General features: G+C 52.2%; 1 protein-coding gene across 21 annotated transcripts in view, besides 2 other annotated features; it reads right to left on the bottom strand.

Moving 5' to 3' along the window:
• KAZN (kazrin, periplakin interacting protein) overlaps positions 1–21,126 on the bottom strand; it is a 1,225,220-nt gene that overhangs the window by 80,643 nt on the left and 1,123,451 nt on the right. For all 21 annotated transcript variants that reach the window (XM_011541074.4, XM_005245795.6, XM_011541080.4 and 18 more), the window contains one exon: positions 2,516–2,652. In XM_011541074.4, coding sequence (XP_011539376.1) covers positions 2,516–2,652 — 137 coding nt within the window. The remainder of the gene's footprint in view (positions 1–2,515; positions 2,653–21,126) is intronic.
• Positions 14,513–15,174: an enhancer, noted in NCBI's record as "H3K4me1 hESC enhancer chr1:15348723-15349384 (GRCh37/hg19 assembly coordinates)". NCBI's record gives its function as "activates a minimal SCP1, AML or CMV promoter by ChIP-STARR-seq in primed H9 embryonic stem cells {active_cell/tissue: H9 hESC(primed)}" and the evidence as "EXISTENCE:reporter gene assay evidence [ECO:0000049][PMID:30033119]".
• Positions 15,836–16,497: an enhancer, noted in NCBI's record as "H3K4me1 hESC enhancer chr1:15347400-15348061 (GRCh37/hg19 assembly coordinates)". NCBI's record gives its function as "activates a minimal SCP1, AML or CMV promoter by ChIP-STARR-seq in primed H9 embryonic stem cells {active_cell/tissue: H9 hESC(primed)}" and the evidence as "EXISTENCE:reporter gene assay evidence [ECO:0000049][PMID:30033119]".

The raw sequence follows: 21,126 nt of genomic DNA, 5'->3' as shown, positions 1-21,126 counted from the left end.
TATCTGTCTGCTCTTAATCCCTGCGTGACCCTGGTCCCAGGAGGGGAGGAAGCTGGTGGCTCAGGGGACAAGTAGAAGGTCAGCTTGGAGCCTGTCTTCTGCCCCAGGGCCAGCACGTCACTGAAGGCTATGGGCTGGTTCTCTGGCCCCACTGTGTCCTGTCCCCAATAAAAAAGAGGTAACCAGGTTTCCCTGCTGCTGGGCATGGGGCTGGTCAGGCAGAGGCTCTCCCTGCCTTGCCCACTGAAAAAAGACCAAGCTCCTTAGGCCGAGAATGGAGAAATGAGAGAGGTGGACACAGAAGGGGAGGCAGGGAGCAGAGGCGACCAGAAGATGCTGTGCTGAGTGCCAGGGGGTGATGGGGTTGGGGGAAGAGGCGCGCTGCACAGGGGGAAGGCCCGTAGGCTCTGGACCCAGGCCCTGTAAGCCCCTGCCCTGCCATCGCCGGCTGCATGACCGTGGGTGAGTTATCTCCCCTCTCTGTGTCTATCAGCTCATCTGTGAAATGGGAGGATAACCATATGCCCCACAGTGTCCGTGTGGATGTTAAATGAATGGACACACACGAGGCTCTGAGAACTCTTCCTGTAAGCCCTTGAAGTACATGCCGTAACTCCCACAGCACGCCCCTGTGAGCACACACGTGTACCTGCATCATCAGACAGGATAGCGGTGTCCCCTACCCCTCCCTCTGCATGGAGGTCACTCTGAGCTCCTGGTCTCTGACTCCTTGCTGGTGGCCAAAGGCAATGCTGCTGAGACAGCCTCACCCTAAGGAGCGGACCCCAGGCCCACGAGCTGCACCCCAGGCCCATGAGTTGCTCCCCATGCCAGAGTCTGAGAAAGCAGCCTCTGTGGGCTCCCCTGCCTCCCTCTGCCTTGCTTCTGGGTCGTCCCCTTCCTGCCAAACCGTTTGCCTGTGACAGGCATGGGGAGGCTCAGTTCATCTAATATGAAAGGGAGCCAGGCCAAACAGGCAGGGGAAGGGGAGCTGGGTGGTCAGGGCAGGGGGAGCTGGGCAGGCAGGGCAGGGGAGGGCTGGGCCGAGCAGGCAGGGCAGGGGGAGCCGGGCGGGGCAGGCTAGGCAGAGGGAGCTGGGCGGGCAGGGCAGAGGGAGCTGGGTAGGCAGGGCAGGGGAGGGCTGGGGCGAGCAGGCAGGGCAGAGGGGGATGGGGGGAGAGGTAGGCAGGGTAGGGGGAGCCGGGCCCTGCTCTCGAGTCGGGCACTGAGGGCAGCTAGAAGTCCCAGATCCCCATCAGGGGCTGTGGTGGCCTGGCCCAGAGAACTCTCGAGGCTCCTTTCATCATAGAAAGGAAGTGATGTGCATGCCCGGGAGGTGACAGTGAGGAATCAGCGGTGAAGACCAAAGTGGGTAGGGGGGACCAAGCATCTAGATTCAAATCCAGTCTGAACACTCTGGTCTCTGAACTGCGGCTCAGAGGCAGCATCTGGGAAGGACTCATTCACCTGGCCTGCTGCTTCCCACTGTTCAAAAAAGGGGCCTCGAGCTGAACACCCTGTGACAAGGGCTGTGACCAAGGTGCCTACGCAGGGCAGAAAACAGAGGCCAGAAGTGCATTCAGCTCGAGGCTGGAGTGCAGTGGGGTGATCTCGGCTCACTGCAACCTCCACCTCCTGGGTTCCAGTGATTCTGTGCCTCAGCCTCCTGAGTAGCTGGGACTGTAGGTGTGCACCACAATGACCGGCTACTTTTTGTATTTTTAGTAGAGATGGGCTTTTGGCCAGGCTGGTCTCGAATTCTTGTCCTCAAGCATTCCACCCACCTGGGTCTCCCAAAGTGCTAGGATTACAGGTGTGAGCCACCGTGCCTGGCCAGGGGACTGACTCTTCTTTAAGTTTTGGTGTCCTCTTTGGCATGTCATACCACAGATACCAGAGAGATACATGGTGAAACAAATTCCTCAGTTGTCTGGCCCATAAACTCCTATTCACCCCACAGAGCCCAATGCATATGTCACTTCCTCTGTGAAGCCTTCCAAGACTCCCTCCCTATAGGCAGAACTTCCTGCTGTCTCACTGGGGCTCCCCAGCTCTCTCTTCACACTTTTATTATGGTGTTAGTAAATGTTAGCTATGCGTCTTATTGATGATGCTATACTATGTGCCAGGCACCAGGCTGAGTGCTCGGCATTCATCATCTCATAGAGTCCTTACTGTAGCTTTGAAAGGTCCACCACAATCACCACTCTGCAGAGAGGAAACTGAGGCTCTGAGAGGTCAAGCGAGACCTGCGAGGGCACACACACAAGGAGCCAGGATCTGAACCCCCCGGACTCCTGAGTCCACGCTGTCCTGTTTGCCCAGGAGACATGGAGATCCCTCTCCGGGGGTTGTGCCGGTTTTATCTCGGTGCCTAGGCCTGGCTGGACACATCAAGGGCCTCCCTATCTGTGTTTGGGGATTCAAGAGGCAGAGCCTGTGAAGGTGGCCAGCCAGCAGGGGAGGTGGGAGCTGGTGTGTCGGGAGGGGAGGGGAGGGCAGGGCGGCGGCTGACCTTGCGGTGCTGCTCATAGTTGCGGATGAAGTCTCGGAGCTGCTCCTCGCGGCTCTCCAGTGTGGCATACAGCTGCTGCATCTGGCTCACCAGGTCTGTCTTCTCGCCCTTTAAGCGCTTCCGATCAGCTTTCATGGCTGGGGATAAAGGAGAGAGTTAGTTCCCAAGACCCCAGCTGTCCTCTCCAGATGCCTGAGTGCTGAGAAGTGGCATCACCGCCGTCACCTTTGTAACAGGTGAGAAAACAGGGCTCAGAAAGACGAAATGTCCCTTCCATGTGCCCTTGCCACTTGGTGGCCTTCCCAGGATTCCAAGCCAGGCTCACCTATGTCGAGAGCCCCGATTCTCCCCTCTCAGCTGTGTCAATCTGACCAGGGAGCAAGTCGTTGTCGAAACTGCTTTCCCAGCCCTAAGCTGGCTGAGTGTTCAATGACGAAGAACTGAGGCCTGGTGGGCTCCAGGGGCCCATGGCTCAGGAATCGGACAGGGCCTCAGTTCCCTCTCAAAAGGAACCCTGGGCCACCCTGAGTCCACTGGAACCACTCAGTCCAGCCCAACAGCCCCTCCTGCCTCATTTCTTCCGTGGGGAGAAGTATTACGTTAAAAACATGCACTAAGACATATACCAAAAGTGTAGAGCAACAAAAGAAAATACAGATAGATCGGAATTCATCAAAATTAAAACCGTTTGTGTTTCAAAGGATATCATCAAGAAAGTAAAGGACAACTCATAGAATGGGAGAAAATATTTGCAAATCCTGTATCTCATAAGCGGCTTCTATCTGGAATATACAAGTCTCTCTTGCAACTCAATAATAAAAAGAACAGGAAGTCATTTAAACAGGAAGTCAGGTGCGGTGGCTTATGCCTGTAATCCCAGCAATTTGGGAGGCTGAGGCAGGCCGATCACTTGAGATCAGGAGCTTGAGACCAGCCTGGCCAACATGGTGAAACCCCCTCTCTACTAAAAATACCAAAAATTAGCCAGGCGTGGTGGTGTGTGTCTGTAATCCCAGTTATTCGGGAGGCTGAGGCAGGAGAACTGCTTGAACCTAGGAGGTAGAGGTTGCAGTGAGCTGAGATTGCACCACTGCACTCCAGCCTGGGTGAGAGAGCGAGACTCTGTTACAAACAAACAAACAAACAAAATGGGCAAAGGATCTGAACAGACACTTCTCCAAGAAATGGCCAATAGGGACATGAAAAAACTCGGTATCAATTGTCATCGGGGAAATGCAAATCAAAACCACAATGAAATACCACTTCACACTCACTAGAATAGCTAAAAATAGAAAACAGACAATAGCAAGGGCTGGTGGGATGTGGAGAAACTGGAATCCTCATGCACTGCTGGCAGGAATGTGAAATGGTGCAGCTGCTTTTGGAAAAGTCTGATAGCTCCTCCAAAGATTAAGCATCAACTTACCATACGACCCTGCGATTCTACTCCTAGGCATACATCCAAGAGCTATGAAAACATATGTCTACACAAAAACTTATATGCAAATGTTTATAGCATTATTCATCAGAGCCCAAAAGGTGAAAATAACTCGAAAGTCCACCAATGGATGACTAATAAGCAAAATGAGATATATCCACACAATGGAATATTACCTAATAATAAATAAAAACAAGGAGGGCCATTGCTCAGTATGCATGGGGATTGGTTCCCGAACTCCCTGTGGACACCAAAATCCACAGATGCTCAAGTCCTTTATATAAAATGGCATAGTATTTGCACACAACCTACACAATCCCCTCATACACTTTATCTCTAGATCACTTACAATACCTAGTAAAATATAAATGCCACATGAATAGTTGTTATACTGTATTGTTTTGGGAATAATGACAAGAAAAAAAAATCTGTACATGTTCAGTATAGATACAACCATTCATTTTCTTTTCCGGAGTTTTTTTTTCTTTTCCTTTTTTTTTAGACAGAGTCTTGCTCTGTCACCCAGGCTGGAGTACAGTGCCGCGATTTCGGCTCACTGCAATCTCCGCCTCCCGGGTTCGAGTGATTCTCCTGCCTCAGCCTCCCAAGTAGCTGGGATTGCAGGTGCCCACCACCACCCCAGGCTAATTTTTGTATTTTTAGTAGAGATGGGGTTTCACCATGTTGGCCAGGCTGGTCTCGAACTCCTGATCTCAAGTCATCTGCCTGCCTCAGCTTCTCAAAGTGCTGGGATTACAGGCATGAGCCACAGTGCCTGGTCCCTGACTATTTTTGATCCACAGTTCATTGAATTCATAGATGTGAAACCCATGGATAAAGAGGCCAACTGTACTGATATTTGCAACAACATGGATGAACCTTGAAAACATGCTAAGGGAAAAGGCCAGCCACTAAAGGCCATATATTATGTGATTCAATTTATATGAAATGTCCACAGCTGGGCGCGGTGGCTCATGCCTGTAATTCCAGCACTTTGGGAGGCTGAGGCGGGCAGATCACAAGGTCAGGAGATCGAGACCATCCTGGCTAACATGGTGAAACCCCGAATCTACTAAAAATACAAAAAGTTAGCCGGGCGTAGTGGCAGGTGCCTGTAGTCCCAGCTACTCGGGAGGCTGAGGCAGGAGAATGGCGTGAACCTGGGAGGCAGAGCTTGCAGTGAGCCAAGATCGCGCCACTGCACTCCAGCCTGGGCAACAAAGCAAGATTCTGTCTCAAAAAAAAAAAAAAAAGAAAAAAAAAAAAAGAAATGTCCACAATGGGAAAATCTATAGAGACAGAAAGGAGATAAGCGTCTGCCTCGGGCTGGGTGTGGGGGTGGATCGGGGAGGGAGGGGTGGTAGCTAAGAGTATGGGATTTTTTTTGAGGTGGTAAAAATGTTCAAACATTGGTTATTGTGATGGATACATAACTCTGTGAACATACTAAAAACCACTGAATTGGACACTTAAAATGGGTGAACTGCATGGTATGTGAATTACATGTCAATAAAGCTGTTAAGAAAGCAAAACAAAATAAGGCTGGGCGCCTTGGCTCATGCTTGTAATCCTAGCACCTTGGGATCTTCCAGGAGGATTGCTTGAGTCCAGGAGCTCGAGACTAGCCTGGACGACATGGTGAGACCTCATCTTTACAAAAAATAATAATTAAAACAATACGCTGATTGTGGTGGTGCATGCCTGTGGTCCCAGCTACTTGGTAGGCTGAGGTGGGATGATTGCTTGAGCACAGGAGGTTGAGGCTGCAGTGAGTCATGTTCATGCCACTGCACCCCAGCCTGGGTGACAGAGCAAGATCCAGTCTCTAAAACCAAACCAAAGCAAACCAACACAACACAACACAACACAACACAACACAACACAACACAACACACCCTGAGTAGCTGCCTGGAAGCAGCATGACTTCTGTCCCCTCCAGACTCTCCTTCCCCACAGCGCTGGCTCCTTGGTGCACGGAACAGACTCAGGGCAGCCTCTGACTGCAGGGTGGGCTCCACGGCCTTTGCCCAGACCCCTAGCACTCCGTCCTTTTCCTGGAGAGAATACCAAGGAGGGGTTTCTGAGGCTAACCCCTCTCCACAGCCTCCTTGTGTCTGGAGTTGTGGAGGTGGTGGTGGGGGTTAGGGAGGCAAAGCAACTCTATGACTCTGGAAACTTCCAGCCTGACAAGGCCAGAGTGGTCATTTGTTTAAAATCACGCAGCCATGTCTGACCCCAAAGTCGACACCCGACCCTATGTTCTGCTGCCTCCACATTGAAGCTCCCTAAACCTGGAGGGTCCCCAGCCCCAAGGCTAGCTGAGGGCAGAATATGGGATGGCAATGACTGTGCCATCCCATCTTGTCCTGAACGTCCAATCCTGCAGACTCAGCCTGTGTACATGAGAGAGCTGGAGACACCAGGTATGGCCTAAGGACTGAGGGATCTGAGCTCCTGGCCCAGTGTCCAACATAAGCTCCCCAGGTGGAAGGCAGGCCAGCTGGGCCATGTCACCACGGGGAGGAGGCCCACGCAGTGGGGACCCCAGGTCTCAGGCAGCTGTTTAAATTCCAGCTTTGAGCTTCCTGGCTCCCACAGCTGGATCTGTCCTCTCCTGCCTGGCTTGGCTGAGCAGCAGCTTAGGTCACCAGGGCCGGAATTCCAGGCCTGCTGGGCTGGAACCTTAAAGGGCTGGGATGGTAGAGTCCATGGAAAGAGGACTCTTCTGCTTCACTCCTGCCAGGCAGCGGGTGGGCCCTGCAGGCCTCAGGCAGTGGGTGGGAGGCCCCGGCACAGCTAGGCTAGTTTTGTGCCCTGCCCCCTAACATGATGCGACCACATTGCTGGTGAACCTCATATTAAGATGACCCAACATCTAAAGATGTATGACCAGGCGCGGTGGCTCAGGCCTGTAATCCCAGCACTTTGAGAGGCGAGCGGAGCACTCGAGGTCAGGAGTTCGAGACCAGCCTGGCCAACATGTGAAACCCCGTCTCTACTAAAAATACAAAAATTAGCCGGGCGTGGTGGCGTGTGCCTGTAGTCTCAGCTACTCCAGAGGCTGAGGCACAAGAATCGCTTGAACCCTGGAGGCAGAGGTTGCAGCGAGCCGAGATTGCACCACTGTACTCCCACCTGGGAGACAGAGTGAGACTCTGTCTCAAAAAATAAAGTAATACATAAAAATCAAAATAAAAATAAAGATGCATCCCGGTCAGAAGGCTCCTTAAGGAAGAGCCGGGGCCCCGCTGTCGCTGATGAATGGGAAATTTCCATTTGCACATGCGCATGGGATCCTGGCCGCCCTCCTAGGAGAGGCAGGTGCATGGGTGAGTATTTTTATCATCCCATCTCACAGAGGGGGAAACGAAGACCACACAGCTGGTTAATGGCACAGCTGGGGTGGAATGGGTACCTGACTCAGTTTCAGGCTGGTTTCATGCTGGCGGGCTGGAGAGTAGCAGGAGAGCACTGCTGAGCTTGGGGAGTGGCTCCTGGAGGGCAGGGGCGCTGACCCCAGCCATGCTATCACTGTGGCTTCCTGGAGCCTCACTGGGCCCTCCTGCTCCGGTGGAAAGAAGCTGCTACTCAGCAGGTCGCATGGGCTCCCTGGGGGATTTACACCGCTGCCCTCTGGTTGGCAGGGAAATCATGCCTCTGCTTTCTGGTTGGAAATGAATGACCCCTGCCCGCCTAGGCTCTGAATTGCCTCCTACATTACCCACATCTCCATGAGAACCAAACTCCAGACTCTGCTCTTGGCAGTTGGAGACCTTGGGAGGGGAACCCCCCCAGCACCTCAACATGGCATTCCCAGGCCTTTCCTCTCACAAATGGCCTTTGTGGGGGTGCAGTGCAGCCTCTTGTGGCTTCTGTGGGTCTCCCTGCTGCTCCATCCTTGTTATCATTTATCCGGCAGTCCAAGGGGTGTGTGTACGTGTGCCTGGCTTTGCGTGTGCAACGTGTGGGCTGCCTCCATGGTGGGGTGCAGGCTATGCCTCCTGCATCTAACCTGGGGCTCTCTGAGAGCAAGAGCTGAGCCTGTGCCTTTAGATTATTCGCTTCTGCCTAAGAGGGGACCTGCGGCTCTCCCCAAATAGTTCAATTAAGCACCTACTGTACGCCAGGCTTGCTGCTGTGAGGACAGGAGTGAGCCAGACGTGGTTCCTGCCTTGTGGGAGGCTGACGCTCTCATAGAGGAGACAAACTCACACCTATGGCTGGCACTGGCACCATCCACCCTCCTCCTCACCATGATGCTCCAATTCTGTTTGGTGGGGAATGTGTCCACCTAAAATGTTCAATTTCCCAAGCTCCCTTGCAGCTACAAGCGGCAGGTGTCACAGTTCTGGCCATTAAGATGCACACAGATGCCCACTGGGAAATCTAGTTTTCTTTATAAGCCCTTTTTTGAGCACAAGGATGGAAGATATGAGCTAAGAATGGGGAGGAGAAAGAAAAACAGAAGAGGCCAGGGTCCCCGATGGTACCACCCAGCCGGGGATGCCTTACAGCAGGAGAATAACAAACCCCAATATTTTGGGGGTTTATTGTTACATGCAGCCCAGCACATTCCTAACAGACACACCAGGGCAGGCTGTGAGTCATGCTGCTACCCTCTCCCATGAGGCTTCACTTCATGGTTCTTTTCCACGGGCGCTCCTCGCTCTGCCCACCTCTGGGCTGGACTCTGCCAGGCTAATGACCAAGACAACACAAAAACTGAATCTTTAGGAATGAATGCCAGGTGAAGAACAACTACAAATAACACAAAGGTGCCACAAGTTCTGTCGTGTACACAAGGAGGCGACATCCAGTTTGCACATGGCAGGTGCTGCAACTCTACACAAACAAGGAGGCTGGTGCGATGGGCCCCCAAGAAATAATTTAAAATCTACACACAGCTATGAAAATGATGCAATGGAACTCTTCCTTTCTTCCTCATAGCTCTGCTTTTTTCTCTCCTTCAAAACCTGTTCCCTAAATGCTCCTAATGCAAGATGAGCTGCCAGCCTGCAAGGCATGGCTGTGTTTCTCTGGGACTGGCCTCCTGACTCAGCTCCTAGCTCCCCAGCGCTCTGCATGACTTCCCAATCATCTGGCCTCACCCACGCGGGTCCTATTCCAGCAGCCAAGCCACTGGAACCACTGCCATGGTGACTGGTGATGTCACGCCCAGCAGGCCCTGCAGGATCATGGAATGAGACCAGCCCGCTCCTGGGAATGTGGGGACTCTGGAGGTGGGAGGGAGGGTGTGTGGGAGGCACTTATTTTTCCAACTCAGAGGTGGCCACATGCATGCCTGAGACCAGGGTGTAACCAGGGGCCCAGCTGTGGCCCCACGATGATGGCACGTCTCTGAGCTGGGCCCTCCCAGGCGAAAGACCGAGACAACACAAAAGCTGAATCTTTAGGAATGAATGCCCAGTGGAGACAAACTAAAAACGACACAAAGGAGCCTCTGGGCTCTGTCGGGTACACAATGAGGTGACATTCAGTTTGTCCTCAAGCTCCCACCACAGACCTTTCTTCCTTCTCTGGCTTCGGATGCCACAGCCCCTAACCCAGATGTGGGACAGGACGGAGCGAGACTCCGTCTCAAACAAACAAACAAACAAACAACCACTGTGGGCCCAATCCTGGATGTCGCAAGGTCAGGAGCTCTTGTAAAAATTTCCAGCCTGGGTGTACCCTGGACAAACATGCGCTCAGAGGTGAGGAGGGAGGAATCGGTCCACGTCAGACGATCCCAGCTGCTGCCAGCAGGGGGCCCCCCTTTCTTTTCCATGCAATGTTCCTGACCCATGGAACCTTCAGGAACTACATTCTGCGAAATGAGGGGTGGGCAGGTAAGGGCCAGAAAGCCTGGCAAACCAATCTGGCAAACTTGAACTTCTAATAAACACCCATCAGAATGTGAGGCTCTCGGAGTTCTTCTAGCTCAGCTTCCCTTTACAGATGGGGAAACTGAGGCCCAGAGACGAGGCAAGAATGCCCAATGCACAGAGAGTCAGCTGAGGTCTCCCAACTCTTAGGCCAAGGCAGCTGAGTTAGAAGCACTGGCTTGGGGCCGGGAGCGGTGGCTCACGCCTGTCATCCCAGCATTTTGGGAGGCCGAGGCGGGCAGATAACGAGGTAAGGAGAACCAGACCATCCTGGCTAACATGGTGAAACCCCGTCTCTACTAAAATTACAAAAAATTAGCCGGGAGTGGTGCGGGCGCCTGTAGTCCCAGCTACTGGGGAGGCTGAGGCAGGAGAATGGCGTGAACCCGGGAGGCGGAGCTTGCAGTGAGCCGAGATCGCGCCACTGCACTCCAGCCTGGGCGACAGAGCGAGACTCTGTCTCAAAAAAAAAAAAAAAAAAAAAAAAAAAAAGAAGCACTGGCTTGGGAATCTGCCTAAGTTTGATTAAGCCTCAGTTTCCTCATCTGTAGACGGCAGCTGACAGTACAGTCAACCTTGGTATTGTGTGGCATTGGTTCCAGGAGCTCCCCCAAATACCAAAATCCACCGATGCTCAAGTCCCCGATGAAACATAGTATTTGCAAATTATCTACACACGTCCTCCCGTGTACTGTAAATCATCTCTAAATTACCTATAATACTTTATACAATGTAGATGCTATGTAAGTAGTTGTTACACTGCATTGTTTAGAGAAAAATGATAAGAAATATGTCTTGTGCATATTCAGTACAGGCACAACTATCCATTTTTTTTTTTTCCAAATTATTTTCGATCCTTGGTTGGTTGAATTCATCGATGTGGAACCCATGGATCCAGAGGGCTGAATCATTTCTGCCATAGGGACAAGCTATCTGGTCTTGAGTGACTGTGGGGTGCTGACCTTGAGCATTTTGGGAGACGAGAACCTCAGAAAGACACAGCTTCAGAGTTGGGGGTGGGGGTCCCAGGTTCTGGTGCTGCTTTTTTCCCCCGCTCTAAGCCTCGGTTTTCCCCCAGCATAATGAGGGTGTTGGAGTCTGTGAGCTTCCTTTTAGCTTCTGAAATCCCAACAGACCTCACCTTTGTCACTTGCTCCTTAGCAGCTGCGGGGCCTGAGACCCCACATGCAACTTCTCTGAGCTTCCCTATCCCCAGCTGTTAAGCTGTGCATGATCGTCTCCACCTGGCAAGGCTCTATGTGACAGGACCCAGGACAGAGCTCAGCTGCATACAGCAGGTGCTCAGTGTTAACCTCTCTTCCTATCTTCCAGCTCCCCGTGGCTCCCAGGCCTGAGCTCAGGCTCTAGGAGGCCCCAGAAAATACAGGCTGACTTGAGCAATAGGCAGGTTTCCAAGTAAAGAGCCCCGGGGAAGAGACCCAGGTCAGGGAGAAGGAAAGGGCCAGTCGAGGGCAGCAAGTTCAAGGCCACAAATTTATGGTCCTGGGATGGGCGGACAGCAGTTTATTTGTTTTTTTTTCCGTTTCAAAGATGAGTAAGGTGAGTTCGGAAGAGGTTAAAGTTTAACCTGCTTTATAAAGGTTAATCAGGTTCTCGTCACATCAGGTGGTGCTCAGGTCTTGAACTCCTGACCTCAAGTGATCCGCCCGCCTTGGCCTCCCAAAGTGCTGGGATTACAGGCCTGAGCCACTGCGCCCAGTCTGCTCCCCACAATGTTAATTTCCTTTATCTTCTCACCACGAGGTGAAGTGGGTTGACCGGCTCGCGCAGCCAACAAGTGGCTGACCTGGAACTTGATCCCAGAACTTTGTCGCTCAGGCCCATGATCTTTCCAGATGACCCATAGACTCTCTCTCCAAGTGCACCCTGGAAAGTTAGTCAGCATGACCCTTCCAACCTCCTGCCTGGGGCAGGAAAGGCAAATATCTGGAATAGCTTCTTATTTTCCAGTAACACGCCAGGGAAGACACGACTAATCAACTAGGCTCCCTAGGAAGCTGGGTTGATTAGGGATGTCTGCCATGGCACGGGAGGGAAACAGGGCAGGTTTGCCAGCTCTGCCCCTGACAGGGAGGCAGATGCCAGTAGTGCCTGATCAGGGCTGGCATGTTTGAGAACTATTCTGGTCAGCGCTGTGCCAATTACCAGCATACTCCATGGAACCAAGGGCAATTCTACTTAACCAAAAAAGTGAGAACCAATTTTCTCAACTGGTAGAAAATGAGTCTATTCACACCAGTGAGATGGTGGCAAAAAAACTCCAAACAGCATGCTTAAGGGTGAAAGAGCAGACTTTATTTCCCTCACCTGGGCCAAAGGTAAGTGAAGGATTAATGAGTTTACTTATTTTCATGTCCACTCCCAACCTGTGATATTAAGTTCCTGGAGGGCAGGGACCTGGTCTGTCCTGTTCACTGCTGTATCCTCCACAACGACAGCAGTGCCTGGCACATAGTAAGTGCTCAGGAAATAGTGACTTTCAAATGAATGACTGAATTAGGTGGACAGCCCCAGGGACAGCAGGATCCTGTGCCATGAGGGCAGAGGACATCTTGTTTTTCTTTGCCTGTCCCCTCTTGCCCTCCCTGGGAGGGACAGGCCATGCTGATTTCCCTGTGCCTCCTGACAGAACCCTGAGCATCAGTCCTGGTGATCTCGGAGCTGGCCACGGCATGGCTGAAGTTCTTATTAAGCTGCCTTGGGCTTGGTGAACTGTGTCCACATCCCAGCCAGGAATGAGAAGACTCAAGTGGACCAAAGTTTCTGCTAATCCAGAGTGCTCAAATTTTAAGGTGCCCAGGGCTGGGGAAAGACCCCAGACATTGTGCTTCCCACAGAGGTGAGACCCCAGGTCCAGGAGTGTGAGGGTCACTTCCCCTACCAGGCTCTCCCGCTATTAGCCTGGCTGCTGCTGTGCCTTCCCTCCGCTGGAAACTGAGGCCTCCCCTTTTCTACAAGAGGCTCCTCGGACCATCTGAGTTCTTTGCACTTGGCATGTGCCCTCTATTGAATTTTTCTCAGCATCATTGGAACATGCAATTCTCTCTCACATCTTTCACAGAAAACCTTCATTTGATCCCATGTCCCTCTCCAGCTCTCATTCCATTTCTCTTCTTCCTTTTGGAACAAAAATGTTCAAAAGGGTTGACCGTATCACCGTCTCCATTTCCTTCCCACCATCCTCTCTGGGACCGGCTCTGGCTTTTCCATGCCGGTCGCCAACGACCTCTGAGTGTGAATCCACATTCTCCATCTGATGAGCTCTGCCTCCAGCAGGCGATGCAGGTGATGACAAGTCTTCGCTTGACCTCCAGGGCCCGTGTTCCTGGTTTCCTCTCATTTCTGCCTGCTCCGTTTTGGACTCTGTTCCCTTCTGACCTCTGGGCATTGGTGGCTTCAGTCCAACCACAGGCTTCAGCCTGGACCTCATCCCTGAACTCCAGACCCAGAGCCCAGAGCATCCACACCTCTGCTTGAACCTCTAAAAGCAACTCAAACCTAACACATCCAAGATAGTCCCTGACCAGTCCCCAAGAATCTGCTCTTCTCAGTGCCCTCAAACTCAGTTCACAGTGGCCTTAGCCTTCCTGTTGCTCTGGCCTTAAACTCTGGAATCTTCCTTGACCACCCCCCCAAACTTTTCTCATACTCCACCCCCAATTAATCAGCCGACCACGCCAGCTCTGCCTTCAACATGGCACCAGGACCTGGGCCCTTTTTACCACTCCTCAGTCACTACCCTGCTCACCCACCCGGGCTGTGTCCCCACCCCCACCCCCATATCTGGGTCACACGGTAGTCTCCTAACTGGTTTTCCAACCCTTCAGTAGATATCAATCCTGCCATGGAGCTGTCCCCTTAAAAGGCAGCTCAGACCATGTCACTTCTCTGCTTCTCTCCCACAACTCCTGTCCCCATCAAGGGGGAGCGCAAAGTCCTTCCAATGGTCTACAAGGACCCCCCCAAGATCTGTCTCCAGGTCCTGTACCCATCCTCCCCCAGCTCACATTCCGGGGAAGCTGCCCTGGCCTCCTGGCTGTCCATGCACTGGCCTCCTTCCTCGGGACCTCTGCATGAGCTGTTCCCTCTGCCTGGAAGGCCCTCCTTCCTTCCCCCTCCTACCCACGTGTCTCACTTCCTCCCATCTCCTCTTTATTCAAACATGCCTTTCTCGGCAACCTCTTCCCTGGACACCCTTCCCTGTTCTTTGTTTTCCTTTGAACTGGCCACCAACTTAACACTGTGTATTCTGTGTTTATCGTGGGAAATGTTCACTGAAGCAAGCACCTCCTCCTTTCCCCTGAAGACTCCCCTACCCCATAACCTGCTGAGAATTCAATGCAGCTTGTTCCTGGATTTCTAAGCCCACAGCTCATGCTAAGCGTGATCATGGCCTTGCCCATCCACTACCCGGCCCTACAGGAATCCGCACTAGCAGCCTGGAAACCAGACCCCCAGCTCAGGACCTACCCACCCCTAAGACTAGCCTAGAGGCCACCTGAAGGCAGGGCCTGGGCCTCAGCTATTTCTAGGAGCTGGCATTCGGCACAGCCCCTGGCAGGTAAAGGAAAGGGTTAACAGGTAACCTGGGGGCTTAAGCAGGCTGTCAGAGGCTCAGTGCTCACCATTTCCAAATATCCTAATCTGCCCCTTCCCTGGTTCTCCAGCTGAGGGACCCAGGACCATCCAGGTAGAACCCGCAGCTGTGCACAGAGCCTACCAGGGATCATGAGTCAGACAGGTGCATGAGCGGGGACCTAGAACACCAACCCCACCTAGAGGGGGTGACTGACCGAATGTGGCCCAGTCATGCCAGGCCTCCCAAAGTTTTGAGAAAATTCCCAACTCCAGGTGATGGCTACTTCCCATGCCTTAAATGTCTCCCAATGTTTCCACATTGGCAACTGATCACAAGTCCAGCCATGTCTGTGGGCTCGGCTGGGTGCTGACTGCTGACCTGAGTGAGTGTCCACGGAAGAGGGAGCAGGAGAGACTTGGGCCCATCCATGGCTGAGGGACCAGGCTCTACAGACAGAGGCCTGGACTCTCAGCCTGGCCCTACCATTTGCTTGTTGTGACCTTGGGTAAGTGCCTTTTGCCTCACGGTCAAATGGGGATAATAGTATTGAATAATGCGTATTGAATGAGAGCAAAAGCTCCCCAACCGCAAAACTCCGGTTAACCATGCAGAGTGACTGCCTAACAGCCAGAGAGGCTCAGGCTGGACTGGGCAGACTCTTGAGAAGGAAGCAGCACCCTGGGGCGGGGTGCGGGCGTGGTTCTCAGCAGAGCTGCAAGACCACTGGATAGACCCGTTTGGAGCCAGGGCAGGGAAGTGATGGGAGGGAGGGGGGTGCATGGCCCGTCCTGGCCATCTGGAGAGCCTCTGCCTCAGGCATGGATGCATGAGGCTTGGCTGTGTCCCCACCCAAATCTCATCTTGAATTGTAGCTCCCCTAATTCCCACGTGTTATGGGAGAGACATGGTAGAAGGTAATTGAATCCTGGGGGCAGTTTTCCCTGTACTGTTCTCATGGCAGTGAATAAGTCTCACGAGATCTGATGGTTTTCCCCTGGCTCTCATGCTCTATCTTGCTGCCACCATGTAAGAAGTGTCTTTTGCCTTCCGCCATGATTATGAGGCCTCCCCAACCTCTTTTTCTTTGTAAATGTCCTAGTCTCGGGTATGTCTTTATCAGCAGCATGAAAACGAACTCATACAGATGCCAGGAGCCAGGGCTTCCAATGAGAAAGGGCTGGAAACAGCTAGGCCGGTCCCAGGGAGGGGACCGAAACCTGCAGACAGAGTGTCCGTCATAAGAGGGACTGCAGGGAGCCACAGGGGCCCTCTGCAGGCTTCAGGGTGCTAACTGCACGCAGGGCACACTGTCCCTGCCACCACCCCGGCTCAGGACTGCCCCTGGAAGAGCTCAGAGGTCACCTGGAAGCCAGGAGGGCGGAGGGCCCCGGGAAGCAGGCCCCCACTGCCTGCTCCTCCCCGAGGGAGACAGGAGGCCAAGGTATACCAGCAGGAGGGAAATGGGAGGGGCCGGGACTGGGAGCGGGTGGTGTTTGTTTTCCAGCCTCTGAAGGGGAGTCCAGGAAATGTCCTCCTTCCTCCCAATCACCACTAAAAATAGTGGCAGGGAATGGGCCCGGAACACGGACATTCCCTAGGTTGAAGCGGGAGGGGGAAATGGAGATTTCTGGAAATGCAATATCAGCCTCAGGCCCCATGCCCCACACAACGAGGACTATTTTTAAAGGCTTGTGTGGGTGTGTGAGGTCGTATGCAGGCAAGATAATGGCCTGGGCTCGGTCTTGAGAAAGGAGGAAGAGGCAGCATGGAGCAGGGAATGGCCGGTGGACAGGGAGGCAGGACACTGGGGTGCAAACCCGCATGCTGTGTGGCCTTGGGAACTCAGGCACCCTCTCTGGGTTTTGGTGTCCTACTCAAGACTGTCCATCGGGAAGCTGCCCTGGGTGCCTAGTGATATGGACTGGTCTCACCCCTGCTGCGTAACAGAGACACAGCAGGGTTGTTGAAGGCAGATGCAGGCAGCAGCCTTTTCCCAGAAAAGTTTACAAGAGAGGAGAGAGGCTGCAGAGAGCAGAGCTCACGAGTGAGAACCCGGAGCCAGACAATCTGGGTTCACATCCAGCTCTGCCGCTCCTTAGAGTGATGTGGGGGGACCTGGGGCAAGTCACATCATGCCAGCGTTTTTGCCATCTGTAAAAGGAATGAAAAGAGTTCCTACCTGGGTATATGTCTGAAAGGCCTGCATCTGTGCGTTCACCTGCACGAAAAAGTTCACAGCGGCCCTATTTGTAAAAGCTCCAAACTAGAAACTCCCCAGACACCCTTGATCAGGAGAATGGCCGCAGCCACTGTGATCCCTTCACATGGTGGATGGCTTGACCTGGTGAGAATGAATGAACGATGGCCACACGTGACGCAGAAGAGCCACACGGACCGAGTGTCGCGCTTCTGGAGCCAGACACAGATGAGTATATACTGTAAACAGTGCTAAGAAGAGACGATGCAAGAGGGGCAGAATTAATCTCCATGGCTAGAAGTCAGCGACAGGCTACCTTCGGAGGGGGATAGTGGCAAGAAAGGTGCACAGGAGGGCTTCTGGGAAGCGAATGAGGTCCTATTCTTGATCTGGGTGCTGATTACACAGTATATTCAGTTTGTAAAAATTCTCCAAGATATAAACTTGAGATTCATGTATTATGTGAGTATTATGTGATCCTTTAATTAAAAGCTTTTAGAAACAGCATCCACCTCATAGCACTGGTTTTGTATATGCAATGCCCTCGGAACAGTGACTAGTGTGTGGGGAATGCGGTAACCCAGCTTGTATCACCTGGAGGGCTGTGGGTCCCCATGACGTCAGTAGACACCCGCCTGGGGTAGCAGTGAGGCAGGGCAGCTCCAGGTGTGGGCAAGGTAGGCGTTGTTCCCACTGTGAGTCCCCAGGGCCCCTGGGGCTGGGGAAGGAAGATGAGCTGTGGGGTTGGTCCTGGGTTCAAGTCCAGCTCAGTCCTGCACAGGCCACGACAACGCTGTCCGTGTGTTACTGTGGTTAGTTAAGGGGGAGGACATTCATGGAGGTGCCAGGCAGTACTTGGCATGATGAAAGGTGGTGGCTTCCCCAGCACTAATAATGACAACAGCAATGATAACCGATGATAACAATCACCACAGTAACAGCCGTAGTCAGCATTTATTGAGTGATTCCTATGGGGTGGGTATTATTCTACACCTTGCATGTTTTCACTCAAATTTTCCTCAAAGCAATCCTGAGAGGTAATGCCATCATTCTCCCCAGTTTACAAATGAAGAAACTGGCTGGGCTTGGTGGCTCACGCTTGTAATCCCAGCACTTTGGGAGGCCGAGGCAGGTGGATTACTTGAGGTCAGGAGCTCGAGACCAGCCTGGCCAACATGGCGAAACCCTGTCTCTACTAAAAATACAAAAATTAGCTTGGCGTGGTGGCGGGCGCTTGTAATCCCAGATACTAGGGAGGCCGAGGCACAAGAATTGCTTGAACCAGGGGGACACAGGTTGCAGTGAGCTGAGATTGCACCACTGCACTCCAGCCTGGGTGACAGAGCAAGACTCTGTCTCAAAGAAACAAACAAACAACCAAATGAAGAAACTGAGGCAAAGGTAGATTACACTGACCCAGCTGGTAAGAGGCAGAGCCAGGTTCAGGCTGGGTGGGTCTGGTTCTGAGCCCCCTGCTCTTAATCATATCCAGGTAGGCAGTCCCTGGTGTAGCAAGGCTGGGGCAGATGCTGGACCTGGGCATGGAATGGGGGTGCAGTGGGGAGCAGTGGAGCCTGGTGGTCCCACCCTGCAAGGCCTTTCATCACCCTGGAGGCCACAGGCCCCAGTTGTCCCTGGAAGGTGTGGAGGTACATGCCAGGTCCTCTCACAGACCCAGTATGGCTGCTGGGATAAGATGAGTCTCAGTCTGGCTGGGACTCACAGCAGGTCACTAAGGATTCAGGTCCTGCTCAGCCTCCCGCCCGCCATGTGCCTTCAGGACATCCAGCAACTTCTCAGGGCCTCAGTGTTTAACTCTGTGAAATGGGCACAATAACAACCTAGCAACCTCACAGGTGGAAACGATATCTGAAGATGAGCTTTAGAATCCACAGAGATTTCAAAGGTGTGAAGACAGCTGTTAATGGGAGGGGAGGGCAGCTGCTGGGGGGCTGTGGCTGCCCGCCTGTGCCAGTCCAGGTGGGTAAGTCTGTCTACTTCTGGCATTCAGCATCAACCAGACACCGTGGCCCAGGATCCCAGCCATGATCTCAGACCCCCTTTCGGTCACAAAACACTGTGATCTTTGCTTGTCTGACTTCTGTGAGACCCCCACAACTACTTCCTAATTTAGTAGAGGAAGAAAGGAGTGTTTTTTTTTTTTTAAATCAACTCCCTAAAGTCTCTGCAGCAACAATTATTATTTTCAATTTTTGTGATCCTGTCTTTGATTTTTCCCTCTTCCAGGGGACCCCATGACGGCTGCAGACAGAGGCGTGGCAGCAAAAAAAAAATCACAGAGAACAATTTTCTTGTCTTCTCCTGCAACCAGAAAGTGAGAGACCCTGGCCACCACCAACCCCCAGCCAGGGCCCTGGAGCTACCTGATGCCATCCCGTTAATTGGAGGGGTGCGAGAGTTTTATGGCAAGACTGGAAATCTACTGTAATTAAGACCTCTATAAAATATTTAGACCGCCATTCTCAGATATATTAATGATTATACATTTAAATGTTAATGAGTGTAATTAGATGAAAGATTAGCCAAGCTTGTCACTAAATATACATTCAGGACTGATAAACTATCTCATAGTAAAATTATATGTGTGAGCAGACGTACACACTTTAGACTTCTGAGATAGACTTGGATTTGTCTTATTGAAAAAAAGCTGAAAGCGTGGCCCAGAAAAATGGAGGGGGAGAAAAGGGAGTTTGCAGGCTGGGGGGAAGCCAGGGAGATCAGAGGGGAGAACCCTAAAGACTCCATAGGGTTCTTGGAAATGGGAAAGATCAATAAGTTAGTATATGTGAAAATTTGCACACCTCCATGAATGGAGAACTCACTACTCTTAGGAGTAGCCAGTTTTTGCTCTAATGATCACATGCCAGAGGCAGGCTTATGAGAATGGTTTATAGGGGTGACATCGGGGTATCCCCCAGAATTCTAAGGCTTTTTTTTTTTGAGATGGAGTTTCGCTCTTGTTGCCCAGGCTGGAGTGCAATGGTGCAATCTCAGCTGACTGCAACCTCCGCCTCCCAGGTTCAAGCGATTCTCCTGCCTCAGCCTCCCATGTAGCTGGGATTACAGGTGCCCACCACCATGCCCGGCTACTTTTTGTATTTTTAGTAGAGACGGGGTTTCACCCTGTTGGCCAGGCTGGTCTCAAACTCCTGACTGAAGGTGATCCGCCCACCTCAGCCTTCCAAAGCGCTGGGATTACAGGCGTGAGCCACCGCGCCTGGCCAGAATGCTAAGGCTTTAAATTCAGTCGTACAAAACTAAGACCACAGTATCTGCAAAACTATCTGCAAGACAACCTATCATCTCCTAGGTCAAGAACAAGATAAATAGGACTTAGCCACGGCCTTATTAATAGAAGGGTTTATGTTTATTCAACAAAAACTTGCTCAGGCACTGAGCTGCAGCTGAGGAGTCTGGGTAAATAAGACAGATAAGGTCTTTTTTTTTGAGACTGAATCTCGCTCTGTTGCGCAAGCTGGAGTGCAGTGGTGTGATCTCGGCTCACTGTAACCTCTGTCTCCTGGGTTCAAGCAATTCTCGTGCCTCAGCCTCCTGATTGACTGGGATTACAGGTGCGAGCCACCAAGCCTGGCTAATTTTTGTATTTTCAGTAGAGACAGGGTTTTACCATATTGGCCAGGCTGGTCTTGAACTCCTGACCTCAGGTGATCCGCCCGCCTCAGCCTCCCAAAGTGCTGCGATTACAGGCATAAGCCACGGCGCCCAACCAGACAGATAAGGTCTTTATTCCCATGGATACTATGTTGGAGCAAGGAAGACAAACAAGCACATGACACATGTTTAATTATTATTTAAATGCAATTATTTAAATACACACTGAGGTCAGTGCTGAGAAGTAAACAAACAGAATCCTGGGCCGCCGGTGGCGTGGTCTGTGAAGACCTGTGTGAGGCCTGAAGGATGGAGAAGCTGCCATACATGCCGAGAGGAAGAATGTTCCGGCAGAGGGAAGGGCAAGTGCAAAGGCCCTGAGGCAGCAAAGAGCTCAGTATTTTCTAGAAGCGAAGGCCAGGGAGGGGCCTTGTGCAGATGAGCCTGGGTTTCCCTGCAGGGAAGTGGGAAGCCACTTGCGTCAGTTTCCTGTGGCTTCCGTAACACATTGCCACAATCTGAGGGCTTAAAACAAATGCATTCTCAAGGCTGGGCACGGTGGCTCATGCCTGTAATCCCATCTCTTTGGGAGGCCGAGGTGGGTGGATCACCTGAGGTCAGGAGTTTGAGACCAGCCTAGCCAACATGGTGAAACTCTGTCTGTACTAAAAATACAAAATTGAGCCGGGCACGGTGGCATGCGCCTGTAATCCCAGCTACTCGGGAGGCTGAGACAGGAGAATGATTTGATCCTGGGAGGCAGAGGTTGCAGTGGGCTGAGATCGCGTCATTGCACTCCAGCCTAGGCAACAAAAGTGAGACTCTGTCTCAAAAAACAAAAAAGCCTTCTCTGGTAGT

This window comes from Homo sapiens, chromosome 1, assembly GCF_000001405.40.
Source record: "Homo sapiens chromosome 1, GRCh38.p14 Primary Assembly".
In the NCBI taxonomy this organism is placed as follows: domain Eukaryota; kingdom Metazoa; phylum Chordata; class Mammalia; order Primates; family Hominidae; genus Homo; species Homo sapiens.
Note: the sequence above shows the minus strand (reverse complement) of the source record. Positions and strands in the feature narration are given on the sequence as shown.